At 40.2% G+C, this 16,894-nt stretch overlaps 1 protein-coding gene across 9 annotated transcripts in view; it reads right to left on the bottom strand.

The window, feature by feature from the left end:
- CDH13 (cadherin 13) overlaps positions 1-16,894 on the bottom strand; it is a 1,173,672-nt gene that overhangs the window by 719,000 nt on the left and 437,778 nt on the right. Inside the window, exon 2 of one of the 9 annotated variants that reach the window (XM_011522804.4) lies at positions 13,153-13,320. The exons of the other annotated variants lie outside the window; for them this stretch is intronic. Within the exon in view, the coding sequence (XP_011521106.1) occupies positions 13,153-13,215 (63 nt within the window). The 5' untranslated portion in view covers positions 13,216-13,320. The remainder of the gene's footprint in view (positions 1-13,152; positions 13,321-16,894) is intronic. 9 annotated transcript variants of the gene reach the window in all.

Genomic DNA, 16,894 nt, shown 5'->3' with positions numbered 1-16,894 from the left:
GGACAGGTCTCCCCAAAAACCCTACCCTGCTGGTACCTGATCTGTAACTTCTGGTCTCCAGAACTGGGAGAAATAAATGTTTGTTTTCTATACTACCCAGTCACTGGTATTGTTATAGCAGCCCAAACTAAGGAGAAATCAGTATTCTCTGAAGTGGTACACTCTGTGCATTTAAAAGCATGTGTATACCCTATTCTCTAAACGCTGGTAATATGATCCTTGTTCTAGGTTGGATGGCCCTGCAGTAACACCCCTATTAGCATAGCTGTGATCCTGTGTTCAATGCCCGTCTTCAACTGTATACTAGTAGGCCTCTGAAATATAGACCATGTCTATCCCATTCACCAGTATATCTCTTGGGTCTTCTACTGAGGTTGATACACAGCAGGTGCTCAATAAATACGATTCAATGGCTAGACTGATTTGAATCCTAACTTTTCAAAGTTAAAAGACTCTATCTTGCCAGGTGCGGTGGCTCATGCTTATAATCCCAGCATTTTGGGAGGCTGAGGTGGGCAGATCACCTGACGTCGGGAGTTCGAGACCAGCCTGACCAACATGGAGAAACCCCGTCTGTACTAAAAATAAAAAATTAGCCGGGCCTGGTGGCGCATGCCTGTAGTCCCAGTTACTCGGGAGGCTGAGGCAGGGGAATCGTTTGAACCTGGGAGGCAGAGGTTGCGGTGAGCCAAGATTGCACCATTGCACTCCCGCCTGGGCAACAACAGCAAAACTCTGTCTCAAAAAAAAAAAAAAAAAAAAAAAAAAACACAAAAACAAAACAAAACTCTATCTTGCCTGGAGTCCTTACTAATAAGGACTAAAAAATAACCCACTAATTTTCTGCCAAGATTCCCATACTATTCATGTAATAATCTTCCTTGTGGGTTAGAACAAAGTCACCCCCCATTGCCGCCTCTATGTTCTGAGGGATATACTTGTTTCTGATCAAGACTGTAAGACACAAGCAGACTTTTCTGATATAATGGCACAAGACTCTCAGCTAATACAGGAGCTGTGGACACTGGACAGGTTACTTAAACCATCTGAATCTTAGTGTCCTCATCTTTAAAACGGGACTAATAACAGACTCTATTTCACAGATCTGTCCCAAGGATTGCATTAGATAGTCACAGTGCATGCAAAGTGTTCAGTGGAACATCTGGCTCCCAAGAAGGTCAGGCAGATGCAGGAGGAGGAGGAGGATAGAACGTAGTTGAAATCCCTATTCTTATTCATTTAATTCTTGAATAAATACTTGGCATAAGAGTGAGCATGAGGGCAACCAAATTTTCTCTTTATGCTTTTCATACACAGGTGTCTCAATTTTCCTGGGTTTGAATTCCTAGTCTCAGCGAATTGGGACCAAACAGCTGGCTGTCATCACCAATTTGAGCAACATGGGGCCCTGAACCACCTCCAACTGAAGAATGAGCTGAAGGGCTCTTTCCCACCATGGATGAACCGAGAGAGAAAGAACACTTTATCATCACATCACTTGTTACTCCCTTCTGCAAAAGGCAAAACCTCCTTGACCTTCACCCAGGCCACAAGATTGCTGTCGGGATCCTAATAAAATAAATTTGATGAGGCACTTCAGCTTCCTTGAAAAGGGATGAGACAGATATGTCATTTTTATTAGTCCAAACGTGAAAGTACTTTTAAAAAGCATTCTAGCTACTGAAATGTGCGACTCAACTTTATCCAGTTGACATTGTCTATCAGCATTAGGCTGAAATTAGAAATAAGCTTGTTTTTAATGACTTGTTTCCCCAGAGAAATTTATATAAGGTAGATATGTAACTTATTATTTTCCAACACCATGGATCATCCAAATAAATATTATGCAGTCATTAAAATCATGTTCTCAAAAACAACTTGACTGACATAAAAAATCCTCATGGTATGTTTATTTATAAAAAGGAAGAAACACATTTGCGTACATGCCATTTGTTCTCCAATCTTTTATTTATACATTTATGAGTGTAGGCAGCAAGGATAATGGTAACAATGACAACTACAAAGAGAACCAAGTAGCACCTAATTTGAGTTAATTACATGCCAGAGAGTGCTAGGTACTTTGCACACATTGTTTCACTAAATTACTACTTGCATTTGGTGGAAATATTATTTCCATTTAAGTCTCATTAAAGCACATATTTTCTGTTATTATAATTATCCCATTTTACAGATGAGCAAGCTTGAGCTCAGATAAATTGTCCCTTGCTTCAGTTCCACATCCAGTATGCATCACAGTGAGGTTGATTTTGTGTCAGAGGCAAAGTTATCATAACAGAGAACAATAAGAAGAATATGAATAACCATCCATAGAAGGCAAGGTTAATAAAAGAAGGTGTGTTCGTTCATACAATGGAATATTCTAAAGCCATTCAAATTTATAGTGCAGAAGACACTACTTCTGGTATAGCTGAGTAGCCCCTGTTTGACCAATTCTCCTGTAGAAAACTGCTATAAACTTTTGGCCACATATAATAAACAACTACCTGGGGAATGTGGAGTGTGAACTTCAATGCATGAAAAACCTGGGCCGGGCACAATGGCTCACACCTGTAATCCCAGCACTTTCGTAGGCTGAGGTAGGCAGATCACCTGAGGTCAGGAGTTCAAGACCAGCCTGGCCAACATGGTGAAACCCCGTCTCTACTAAATATACAAAAATTAGCTTGCTGTGGTGGTGCACACGTGTAATCCCAGCTACTTGGGAGGCTGAGGCAGGAGAATTGCTGGAACCTGGGAGGCGGAGGTTGCAGTGAGCCAAGATCTCGCCATTGCACTCCAGCCCGGGCTGACAACAGCAAGACTCTGTCTCAAAAAAAACCAAAAAACCAAAACAAACAAACAAACAAAAAACTGGAGGCTAAACACTTGGAAGAATTTGACACTGGGTAAATTTCCCATTTTTCTGGCTTTCAGCCTGATAAGAGGACCAACCAGTGCCAGATGGGAAACTACATTCTGACTGAAAACCCATAGTCTTGGTGGCTTATAGCAGGGGTCCCCAACTCCTCGGCCATGGACCGGTACTGGTCTGTGGCCTGTTAGGAACCTGGCCGGACAGCAGGAGATGTGCCTCTGACAAGTGAGCATTACTGCCTGAGCTCCACCTCTTGTGAGATCAGCAGTGGCATTAGACTCTTATAGGAGTACAAAGTACAAACCTACAAACCCAATTGTGATCCTCACATGCGAGGGATCTAGGTCGCACGTTCCTTATGAGAATCTAACAAACGCCTGATTATGTGAGCTGGAACACTTTCACCCCCAAACCATCATCCCCGTCCCCAATATGTGGAAAAATTGCCTTCCATGAAACCAGTCCCTGGTGCCAAAAGGTTGGGGACTGCTTGTTTACAGAACAGAGAACAGAGTTCATGACAACAGTAGCTGTTGGAAATTAAGGGAGGAAAATCCAGATAGAAGAGACTCAGTGACAGGAAGCCCCAACTTCTGTGTATGAATTCTGCCCAAAACTCTGCCGATGTTGACCCCCGAACCATGCACGCGTGAGCAGTCTCCAGGTATCCCTATTTGAGCTGACTCTCATCTCAGGTCAGATGGAGGATGCAAGTTTGACTTTAGCCAAGCCAAAAACAAACAAAGCCAATAAACGAACAAAATGTTCCTTTAAGGAACAGAACAGAACAGAATGGTCAATAAGCATACATATGGGTAGTTAGGGTAACGCAAATTAAATCCACAATGGGATGCCACTACACACTCACCAGAATCGCTAAAATTAAAAAGATCAGTAACAGCAAATGTTTGTGAGGATGCAAAGCCGTCACTGCTCTCACGCGTTATCCGGAAGAGGATCGACCAATTCAGAAAAATAAGTGAACACTTCTGATAACACTCAATATGAGTCTACCCCATGACATACCCTTTTACTGCTAGGAGTCTACCCAAGCGAAAGAAAAACAGGTCTATACACAGAATTGTGCATGAACGTTTTTATAGCAATTTTATTCATTGTAATCAAAAGCTGGAACCAACTCAGACATCCATCAATAGGAGAGTAGATAATAAATATGGTCTATACAAGTGACCAGGTGACAGAATATTACCTAGCAACAAAGAGAAATGAATGCTGATGTATGAGCATGAATGAATCTAAAAAATCTTATGCTGGCCAGGTGTGATGGCTCACACCTGTAATCCCAGCACTTTGGGAGGCCAAAGTGGGCAGATCACTTGAGGTCAGGAGTTCGAGACCAGCCTGGCCAACATGGCAAAACCATAGATCTAGTAAAAATACAATAAATTAGCCAGGCATGGTGGTGTGCACCTGTAATTCCAACTACTCAGAAGGCTGAGACACAAGAATCGCTCGAACTCAGGAAGCAGAGGTCCAGTGAGCCAAGACTGCATCACTGTTCTCCAGCCTAGGTGACAGAGTGAGACTCTGTCTCAAAAAAAAAAAAAAAAAAAAAAAAGAAAAGAAAAAAAAGAAAAGAAAAGAAAGAAAAAGAAAATCTTATGCTGAGTGAAAGAAATCAAACAAAAATATATATACCATACGATTTCATTCATATAAAATTCTAGAACCAATGAAACTTGAAACAAGTCTATGATGGGAAAAATCAGAATATTGGTGGCCTCTAGGAAGGTCATGAAGAAACTTTCTGAGGTCATAATGATGGTTTCTATCTTGATGGGGGTTTGGGTTGCACAGTTGTATTCAGTTGGCACAAAAGTAATTGCGGTTTTTGCCATTACTTTTAATGTCAAAAACAGCAATTACTTTTGCACCAAAGTAATATATGTTTGTCAAAATGTAAACATGACGCATAAGCTTTGTGGGTTTCATAGTATGTAAATTTTCCTCTGAAGAAGAAAATAACCAAAAGCAAATATTGAATTCTAATTAACAATATGCATGCAGATCTATTTAGGGGGTGGAGTGTTACATATCTGTTGCTTACTTTGAAATGCATAAAAAGTAAGGTGGATGTATAGAGGCAGGGACTGTGTGTGTGTGTGTGTGATGTGTATATTTATATATATAAAGCAAGTATATGGAAATGTCAAATGTAAACTGTAGAATCGAGGTTATGGGCACATGGTGGTTTAGTGTAAAATTCTTTCAACTTTATGTTTGAAAATGTTCACAATAAAATACTGGAAACGTCACGGTTCAGAAATGATTTTATGAAATGTCAGGACAGGCTCCCTTAATGCCATGCAAGGATCTTTGTCTAGCCAAGGAGACACCAGTCCTGCCAGTCTAAGCATCCCAATCCCCAGCAACAAGCTCTGAATGAATAAGCCATGGCAATGGATTCTGATCCAGACACTTACAATACTTAGAAATGAGGGTGAATGCTTCAGTCATTTCCTAGTTTTACATGGAACATTTGGGAAATTTGGCTCTATCATTTTCTTTTTGGAATATTATCAAACAATGCTCAAAAGCTCTTTGTGCCTGAGTAAAAAAGCCTGGTCATGCCATCCTGTTGAGTTTGATACCCATATGGGCCACTTGGTCTCATCATAGCTCATTTACTTTTTTTTCCTTCCAATTTTATGTTCATCAGGCAGGATGTCTGGAATCAGCAGAACTCACGTTCTGGCTCTGCCATTTGTCAGCTTTCAGCCATTTTGCATACTTCCCTTAACACATTTAGATTATTTTCCCCTCTCATTCCTGGTTTGGTTTTTGTCACGAAGCTGATCCTGCCACTTAAAGGTATAATGTAGCTCCTCGTATGTGTTTAGAGGATTTTTGCAGCAATTCTGCCCATGAATATGTGCAGTATCAAAGAGCTTTAACTGATTTGACTTCTAACACAAACTCTCCATTTGCAGAGCTAACTCATGAATCCATAAGCTTCACCAGAAGCACAGGGAAATCTGATCACAAAGCACAAGTCAAAGTATTCCCAAGCAAGATTGATATGTCTCTATTGGAAAACTCAAACAATCTAAAATACAGCATTTCCTTGTAATTACTTTGCCGGGACCGCCTCGCCTAACTCAGTACAGATACAGTGCTAACGTCCACCTCACACAGAACATCAAAGTTCATCTGAATCCAAACATGATGAGAGTGCAGCAAGGGAACAAGGTACGCACTGGATGCAATGCTCAGCAACCACAACCCTGTTCCCTTTGCATCCACAACAATCTTATCAGACTCTGCCTAGGCCATTCTAGGTCAAGAACATTGTCCTTCACCCCAAGGTTAAGACAGGAAAATGACTGGGAAAGAAGAACCCAGCTCACATGCTACATGTAACTAGCGCTAACAGGGAGAGCTCAGGTGGTAAACCTTGGTCATGCCATTGTCACAAGTTCATCTTCACGGGGCCACATAGTCACTCTCTTTGTGGTCCCCTGAGACAAGAACTGGGGTGAAACTCTTTTATTTGGGAGGTTATGCCAGGAATCACAAGTGAGGGAGTTGGGAAGTAAGACAGGGTGTGGACACAAGCCAATAAAGGGTGCATTCATGGAAAGACTTCCACTGTGGGCAACTGGAGCTCAATCCTACTGGGGACTCTCTAAGAGACAGTGAGAAACATCCCCCAGAATTGTCCATTAAGGGTCAAGGATGCTGGACCCAAGGATGTTTATCTACAGATCTTACCCCTCATTGGCTGAGGATCCCCTATGGCCATTATCAGCCCAGCAAGCTGTAAGGTGAGAGGCAGTGGCTGCCTTGCTTAGGCTGCACGTGTCCTCAGAAGTGAGCCTCATTATAAGTGTTGGACACCAACAGGGTCTCTTTTTTGCTGTTTGTCTAATTTTGCGTCTTTCAGACAGTCCACGTGATGTCTGGAATCAGAAGACCTGAGGTAAAATATGGACTATTTATCAGGAACTCACTTAAGCTTTGGCTTTAGCTTCCTTTTCTGCAAATGGAGCTGGTAATAGCACCAGTGAGGACTGTGTGAGACGATGGCTATGAAGGAAGGCTCCAAAGACTCCTGTTCATAGAAATCAGTCATTGCAAAAAATAACAGATGCTAGCAAGGATGTGGAGAAAAGGAAACTCATACACTGTTGGTGTAAAAGTAAATTAGTATAGCCATTATGGAAAACAGTATGGATATTTCTTAAAAAATCACTAAAAATAGAACTACCGTATGATCCAGCAATCCCACTACTTGGTATTTATACCAAGGAAAGAAAATCAGTCTATCAAAGGGATACATGCACCCTAATGTTTATTGTAGCACTATCTACGATAGCAAAGATATGGAACGGACCTTGTGCCCATCAGTGGATAAATGGATAACGGATTAAAAAATTGTGGTATATTTACACAATGAAATACTATTTGGCTATAAAAAAGAACGAAATCATATTATTTGCTGCAACCTTAATGGAACTGGAGATAGTTATGTCAAATGAAATATGCCAGACACAGAAAGAGAAATATCGCACATGCTCACTCACAGATGGGACCTAAAATATGGAGAAAAAGAGCGCAATGGTGGTTACCAGAGGCTGGGAAGGATGCAGATGTTTGTCGGTCTGGGAGGGTAAGTGAAGAGAAATTAGTTAAGTACAAACAGGCAGTAGACAGAAGGAAGAAGTTTTAATGTTAATAGTAAAGTACGGTGACTACAGCTCACACCAATGTATTGTACATCTCAAAATAGCTAGAGGGGAGGACTAGAAATGTTCTCAACACATAGAAATGATAAATGATTGTGATGATGGATATTCTAAATTCCCTGACTTGACCATTACACATTCTGTACATGTAACAAAATACCACATATATCCTAAAAATATGTAAAAATATTATGTGTCAATAAAAAACTTAAAAATAAATCTGTCACTGGTAGACAATTGCTATGCTGTACTGTATATTATATATATTACATATACATACTATGCTATAGTATAGCACATATATCATGTTATACTAAGTATATTATATTAAATATATGATCATATCTTAAAACTTTTGTGAAGAGCTATAGTGTCAGGGTAACTGACTAAGCAGGCCACATTTTCTCTGTTTCGTCAAGTTCAATATATTTTTACAGGAATAAAATCTGCAATAGGGGATTCAGCTTCTTTAAATGCAGCTGTTGTATTCTCAGGAGAGTTTTAGGGAGGGCTCACAGGGAACAAAATGTGGGGAATTCTCATCGCCATGTGTGTGAATGCCTGCCTAACTTTTGTGATAGGTTATTAAACAGCAGCATCTAATTAAATACAGAAAAAGGTCAAGATTCCAATATTCTGTTTAATATAAAATGGAGGTAGTATGGTGTGGTAATTAAGAAAGCTCTCTCTCTCTCTCTCTCTCTCACACACACACACACACACACACACACACACACAGACACACACCCCAAAGAGAGAGCCCATTCCTTGATGCTGAGTCACCCGGGTTCAACCTCGAACTCTGTTTCTTACTAGCACAGTGATTTCGTGCAAGCTCTGGAACCAGACGACCTGTACTCAAATCCAAGCTTCACAATCACTAGCCACGCAAGCCTGCCTGGATAATTTCATGTCTCTCAGGTTGTGCTTCCTTACCTGTAAAATGGGGTTCATGGGGTTCCAGGTTGTCACGAGGAGTTCGTGAGCTACCAGCACAGTGCTGGACTCAACACAAGCACTTAGGACACCTTCACATCGTTACCATTTGAAAAGTGTTTCTTTCACATCCTAGTAAATGCAACTACTCTCTGAAAGGCCACATCATCTTAAAATATCTGCATTTCATTCTAATGTATATTTAAAAGGAATATGAGAGCCCACAGAAATGTTAGAAATCCTCCAGGGCAGTCTTTCTACAACTTTCCTCCAATGTAGGGGATCTTGTTAAAAATACAGACTCTGATTCAGTAGATCTGGGGTAAGGTCTGGGATTCTACATTTCTACTAGTGAGGGGTGTTCTTAGGGGAATTTTAGGGAGGTCCAAAAGGGAGCAAAATGTGGGGAATTCTCATAACGACATTGCTCCATGCACAGATCAAGCTTGGAGGCAATTAAACCCCTCATTTCCCAAATGGGACCCAGAACACCTAAGATCACACAGCTGGTAAAAGAAGACTCATATCCAGAATCCAACTGTTCTGACTTCAAGTTTGTGATCCCATTGACAAAAACACACAAACATCTCTAGCTTTTGACAGAAAATTCTTCCCAGCTGGTTGCAGAGAGGACAGGCATTTCTAATGATTTTCCATATAAGAGGTACCCAATGGTGAGTTAGAATCCTCCAGGAAAAACTAATTGTGTTTATGGTCTGGAAGACAGGATCATATTGTAATGTACATGCCCAACATATGCATTATTTCTAGCATTATATATAAACACAACAGCAATCTAACCATTGTCAACAGATTAACTAAACGATTGCAAACTTTGAAGTATCTTTGGAACACCTTGGACAAGTGAGTTTGGTTTCTTTAACCGCATCTTTTATAAACTGAATACAGAGCAAGGATTTCCACTGAAGGTTTAGCACCCAAATTGAGATTAGCTTTAAGGGTAAAATACATGCACAATTTCAGAAACTAAGTACCAAAAAGATGGAACAATTTTCGACTTGACTAAATGTTGAAATAATCATATTTGCATGCACTGGGTTAAATAAAATATACTATTAAATTAATTTTATATATTTATTTTTAGTTTTTAAAAGCTTATCCAAGAAAATTTAGAATTGCATATGTGCTTTAAATTATATGTCTCTTTGACGTTAGTTTAGAGAGATGGATGATTAGATGACCACATAGATGATGGAGCATAGAATCAATTCTGTGTATTTTACTTATAATCTATGCATAATATAAATGGGATATTTACAACTCACATACTTATAAACTATTTCAGAACTCTGTCATGCCTACTGTCTCAAATTTATTATATATGCACCTATATATGCTATGTATTTTTAAATGTTTATTCAAATATTTAACATGGTTAAATTTTCTCCACATAGTCTTCTCCTATCAACTTACTTTTCTATGTTTATGACTTGAAACAACTATTCAGTCCAGCTTGCTCGTACCTGAAAGCCAACTTCATGAATTATTAGTTTTCCAGTGGCACAGGGGAAGCGACCACAGCTCCCTGAAGTGAACAAGCCTCCCTTCCTCACTGACAGGTGTCTATTAATGGGTCAGTGAGGGCAGACGTTGCTCTCCTCCTGCTCAGAGAGCAAAGGGTCTGGCCCTTTAACCAAGGCTTGGAGGAGCTCTCAGGGAAGAGCTACATGGTAGTCAGGAGCACAGGTTTACAACTGGGCTCTTAATAGGAAGGGGAGCATCTCTGGGCAGACTATTTAACCTCCTTGATTCCCAGTCTCCTTATCCGAGAAAGGGGGATCATGAAAGCCCACACCTTGCAGGGTTATGTGAGGATTAAATAATACGCTGCTGAAGGAGGCTTTTGCTTATTGCCTGAATGAAGCATTCAGTCCACAATTGCTGTGTTGTAGAGGCTTCTAACACTCATGTATAATCAGGTCTCTGCTTTTCTGAGAATGTTCAGAATGACACTTTCCTGATCCCTTTGCAATTAAATGAGGCTATACATTATTATGATCAATAAATCACAGTAAGAGGCATGGTGTCTCATGCCTAGGAGAGCCTTCAGTTGTGAATGCAGAATCTGGAATGTTCTTTTCCTTTGCCAGGAGAACTCAGGTGCATCATGTTAAGACGGTGCTATCATGACCTCATGTGGCATGACTGCGTGAAGCATAACTCCCCTCCTAACTTAAATTGGTTGTATATCATGAGCAATAAATAAACTCCTGTTGTTTAGGTCATTGATATTTGGGGGGGGGGGGGCTGTTTATTACTGTAGTATAACCTAACCCTGCCTGATTTATATACTATTGCTTAAGACAACTCCTTTGCTGAACTAGGTTTTTACATTTGAATTTCCAAGGCTTTCCCTTGGCTCCTGATTTACAATCCCTCACAGATAAATAGTTCAGTCATTCCCTTCAATGTAATTGAAGGTCAATCATCTTCTTGGGCGTCTCAGCATTGTCCAGTCACACTAGCGCTTTCCTTCCTGAGAAAACTTGGATTATATTAGTCATGTTTGCTTTTCTAAAGCAACTTTTACTTCTAAAATAACTTTTATCACCAAGATAGTTTTTTTAATACTGCACCAAGGCTATTAAAAAGAATGGAAACTACAGATCATAAAAACATCAACAGTAAAACACTCATTTCCGTGCAAGTTGTGAAATGAAATCAATGTATCTTAACTTATTCTTTAAGAAGAAAAGAAGATAAAGGGAAAGTTCCAATTTTTGTTATCATTTAATCCAACTTTATGAATTCCTTGGTACTTATGGCCAGAAGGCACCTCAAAGGTCATCGTACCCAACACCCTTAAACTGTCAGTATCAAGTTGATAGTGGCTTGTATCAAATATTTAGTTATAGGGAAAGAGACCACATGTATTTCCAAGAGTGAGTTTTTAAAGGATAGTTAATGATTTTAAAGTTCTCTAGAAGCAAAGAAAGCTGAGATTTGTTGCTGCAAGAGCAGAATTTCTTAATAAGCATGCCAAGAAGCAAGAGGATTTCAGAACAGCTAGTGTGATATTTTAGGTGAAAACAATTTTTCTATCTAGAGAAGCATCAAGTGCCTTGAAAAAAAGGGAAGTTGTCCTCAAAATTTTGGGAAATTTTTAAAGTGCCATTGGCCCAATTTTTCTTCATTTCCTTACTTTTATTTCTTTTTCTGGTATCCATCAACTACACTGATTGCCGATTTCTGTCTGCATTTCTAGAGAGAGCAAGAATCAACATTTAGTTCAAATGGTTTGTTTTCCTCTAAAAGACAATTGCTTGCTGCCTGCCCTTGTGAGAGACAGAGCCTATCGTGTTAAATCTAAGGAGATGCATGGACCAGTTCCTGTCCACTCTGAACAGGGTTAGCACTGGAATGGGTGTCAGAGTGAGCCTTTGGGGAGAGCCAATCAGGGTGAGGATGGCCCCAGCCCAGGAAAAGACAAGAGGATGAGGCTGGAGGAAGCAGTGATAGTCTTTCTGAGAGGCAGCATGGCATAGTAGATAAGATTCTAGTAACACATTTCCTGAGTTTGAATCTTGGCTTTGCATTTTTTAGATAGGTGACTTTGGATGGTGACTTACCCTCTTCATGCCTCAGCTTTTCATCTTCAAAATAAGAATGACAATAACAATTTCTACCTTAGGGGGGGCTGTTACATACATGAAATGTTCACATAAAACAATGCCTGGCACGTAGTAGGTGTTTCTATAGGTGATTCTTAGAAAAGAAAACGGTATTGCAAAAATTATGTGATCATATTTACAAATTATTTTTATTAATCAGAAATCTGAAACTCACATTTCCACTAAAGAGTGCCACAGTTCCACTAAAGAGCCCTGTGGATGAATACTGATTGGTGTTAGAACTCTGATAAATAAGGGTGGCCTCATCTGAATGACATTGAGACCACTGATTACTCCTTTATTGGAAAATGCGCATTGACAAAAATAATTCAAGATGCAAACAAATAATTCAAGATGTACAATTAAATGAAATAATTTAATTAGATGTTTTATGGGATAAGTGAAAGACATGCCTTTGGGATTTTGAGAATCTGACTTAAATTGAAGCAGTTAATGCTTCTTGTTCTGGGATATCCAGACAACTGAACTGGGGGCATGGGAAATGGGTAACTTTTGCCTCAACAGCAAACCTTCTAAACCTTCATAGTGAAAACATTCTTAACCAGTGGGTGGCAATCATGTGTCATAATGCAAAAGACCATACTTCCTTTTGGAAAATTTAGACATTGGCCAGAAATTGAACAACAAGGGGGCAGGGAACGGTTAAGGCAGAAAAATTGGCAAGCAGGGTGTCCACAGCCCTTGCACTCCATGAACTTGCAGACTTAAAATACTGAAGCTCAAAGATGTAAACCATTCCCAACCTTTTTATGCCAACTGCCTGCTGAATTCTTCTTGCAGAGCTGTGGGGCATATTTTTTTAATTAATGGCATTAAAGATGAAGACCATGGAGGCCAGTATGTTTGGTGATGGCAAAGGCTTATTGGGAAGTCAGAAGAATGGTCAGGTGGCTGGTTCAGAGGGTCAGGCCATAGTGTTTAAAGAGGCTGGTTACAACAAAAAGAGCAACGAGTGTGAGAATTGTACCGCATACAGCCTTACCTTATTGGCTTGCTCAACATTCGCCAAACCCTGAACGTCATCACACAAGTGAGAGGGTAGCATATTTCATATGTGACTAGTCTCCAAAGTTACAGAGTCTTGGGAAGTTCCACTTAATAGCCAAGCAGCAATGAGTCAGTCAGTTTTCCTCCATAAGCCTCAGTTATTCTAGATAGATAATAAAGTGGGGATGAAAGTTATATGGCAAAACCTTAGGGTTTTTTAGACACTAAGTGAGATAATGCCTATAAAATGATTAGAATGATGTCTGGCACTTAAGAAAATGTATAGAAATATGATTCTAATTTCATTGGAAGTTGGCATCTGCTGTGTACAATTCAACCCAGCAGATCCGACTGTGGTAATGCTCTCAGCTATCCATTTCAGGTGGGGCCCTTGTTTTGCCAAGTCCTCCTTGTATCTTTCACAAAGTGGCAGTCATATGGATCTAATAGAGGAGCTGGGAGGATTGACTGAGATGATGAACTGATCATGCTCTGGTAGCCTCAGAGTTGAGAATGAGGGTGAAGGCTTCTTAAGCCCAGGCCAGGGATATTTTTCATAGGTCCTCCTTCAAACTTTTTGGCCAGAGCAGGTGGCGAAATGGAGGATAGAGGGGATGGGAGGCCTGAGACATTCCGGTATCTAGAGGCCAGAGAGAAGAAGAGAGGGGCAGGAACAGCAGGCTGACGGAAGGAGAGGAACCAAGAGAGATTACTACTCTGCTCTCTGCTTTTCCTTTTTCATTAAAATGCTTTTCTTCATCCTATTCTGTTTCAGTATTTTCCTAACCTACTTTTGTTATTCAGTCATGTTTCCCTTGACTATAATAAATCAATTGCACTAAAATTATTATAGGTTGTGCATTTTATCCCTAAAGTTAAATATTCAGTGAGGTTCTTCGATCATGAACCTTAGTTTGTGGAGGTTGTAAAACATTAATACTTCCAAACTGCAGCAAAAAATGCTTGTCGTTTGTACGTTTGTTTCCTATCATTTCTTGAGCACAATCATGTCTCAAACACTATATGGGTTCTTTTACTTGTTTGCTGTCATTGAGTCCTTGATACAACCAACTATGGATGGTTCCCATTTTATAGAACTGGAAACTATGGCTCAAAGGGATATAGTGACTTACTATAGTTCTGCATGGTAGTAGACAAGTAGACAGTAGGTATTCCTCAGTTCTCAGCCCGTGCCGTTAACCACTGTACTATGCAGAGCCTCCACAACACAATACTTATCAACATTACTCAGAGATACAGTCAGTTGCCTTCTGCTGCTGAAAGATTTGATAGGAAGAGAATGAAGGCTGCTCTTTGGAATAAGAGCAAAGATAAATGTAGCAAAGACAAAATGGCTCCTAGGGAAGTGAAACTCTACTACCTAATTGATGGTATTAGCACATCTGAAGAATGAAGGACGCTTAAAACGGTCAGTCATCCATGGCAGCTTGGAAAATAAGATGCCTCCTGGAGGCAACTTTGCAGTACTCATCCTAGAGGCAGGAAAAATTGCTGAAGCAAAGACTTCAGCATTTGGTGACAAAGACAGTCTGAACCCCTTGGTAAAGTTAGGCTTTCTTAGTCCAGTGCCTTTAAGCACTCACTCTAACCAACACTTCATGCTCACTAAGCAGCCTTCTGATTATGAATTGGTCTTCCATGAAGGGTAGAGTAGAAGCAGAAAATGTGCTGACCATGTGGACTTTGAGCATTCCAGTCTCTGTGACAGTAATTTTTCTTTGTAAATTAAAAGACTGACTTCACACCGGGCGAGAATTTGCTGATCGTTTGGACTTTGTGTATTTCAATGCATGTGATAATCATTCTGTTCTTTAAATTAATAGATTGGCTTTATACAGAGACAGAAAATGCTGACCATATGGACTTTGAGTTTCCTGGTCCTTGTCACATCATTTCTCTTTGCAAATTAAGAAATTGGTATTCAGGCTTTATAATCCCTTTTGTAAGCATCAGTCAGCCCTAAGAGGCAGTTCTTCTCTTTGGGTTGATGACTTCAGGAGGTCCTCGGTCAGAAGGCCTCCCAGCTTGGTTGGGCAACCAACTCGTTGCCTTTTGTTTAGGACTTTTCCTGGGATTAGCACTGAAAGTCTCACATCTTGGGAAGCCTGCATGTCTCCGAAAAACAAGGGCAGCTCTCTCAAGACTATCCTGGTTTTAAAACTGAAAGTCTCATGTCTTAGGAAGCTCCCGTATCTCATGCAAATTGAGAAACTGATTCCCCTAGAGCTTAGTCACTTGTTGAGAAGAACTCATCATCACCATGTAGCTGAGAAAAAGCCAAAGTGCTTTACAAATTATAGACAGGTGCCACATTCAAATTTCATATCTAGTTTTAGAAGAATCTTTAAGCTGTCACTATCGTATTACATCCTGATTTCAAATCACAATATAATCCATGAGTATTTTCCTTTACAGCTCTTATGCTTAAGACATTTTACAGAAGGCAAGCTTTACAGTAACACACAGGAGTGAAGGTGGTTGTTTTATACCTGGACTGCATCCAAACTGCAATTCTTCTTGGATGAAGTTGCTTTTAAGTCCCAAAGCCATTTTCCAGTTATTATACAGTGGTGTGGCATGGTTTAGTAGAGGCTTTGCAAGAGGAAGTTTCCCCAGCTGTGTGTCCTGTGGCACCCTTCCATCTACCACCCAAAGACAGTAGGAAGAGAGTGCAGGAAACAGCAACACATCCAAAGAGCGAGAACCTAAAAGTAGTCTTGTTTTTTTTTTTTTGTTTTTTTGTTTTTTTGTTTTTTTTTGAGACAAATCTCGTTCTGTCACCCAGGCTAGAATGCAGTGGCACGATCTTGGCTCACTGCAACCTCTGCCCCCTGGGCTTAACTGATTCTCTTGCCTTAGCCTCCCGACTAGCTGGAATTACAGGCGTGCACCACCACACCTGGCTAATTTTCATATTTTTAGTAGAGACGGGGTTTCAGCATGTTGGCCAGGCTGGTTTTGAACTCCTGATCTCAAGTGATCTGTCCACCTTGGCCTTCCAAAGTGTTGGGATTACAGGCACGAGCCACCACGCCCAGCCTGGAAGTGGTCTATATCTGTTTCTTTGAATTAGCAGCAGTTTTGTAGAAACTTCTCCATCCCATCTTACCCATCTTTGTACCAGCATTCAACATAGCTGATCAACTCACTTCTTAAGGCTTTTCCTACCTGTGCAATACTACACTGTCCTGGTTTTTCTTCTACCTTCAAGCTTTTTCTATATCCGACCATTAAATGCTGGGATTCCTCAGGGATAACTTCTAGAATCTCTTCTTTCTAAAGCTGTGCTGTCCAGTATATCACCAGGAGACAAAGGTGGCCAGTGGATAATACAAATATGGCTAAGGCACAGAAGACAAATACCACATGATCTCACTTGTATGGGAAATCAAATAAAGCTAAACTCCTAGAAGCAGTAGGATGGTGATTACCTGGGGCTGGGGGTGCAGGGGAGGGACTGGGGAGATTTTTTTTAGCTAAGAGTGCAAAGTTTCAGATAGACAAGAGAAAGAGGTTTTGAGACTATTGCACAGCATGATGACTACAGTCAATAATAATGTATTATATATTTCAAAATAACTAAGAGAGTCAATTTCAAATGTCTCAGCAAAAAAAGGATAGGTAACTGAGGTGATGGACATGTTAATTAGCTTGATTTAATTATACCATTTTATACATGTATCAAAACATAATATTGTACCTCATAAATGCATACA

Source organism: Homo sapiens, chromosome 16 (genome assembly GCF_000001405.40).
Source record: "Homo sapiens chromosome 16, GRCh38.p14 Primary Assembly".
In the NCBI taxonomy this organism is placed as follows: Eukaryota; Metazoa; Chordata; class Mammalia; order Primates; family Hominidae; genus Homo; species Homo sapiens.
The sequence above is the reverse complement of the archived record's forward strand: the minus strand, read 5'-3'. Positions and strand labels throughout refer to the sequence as shown.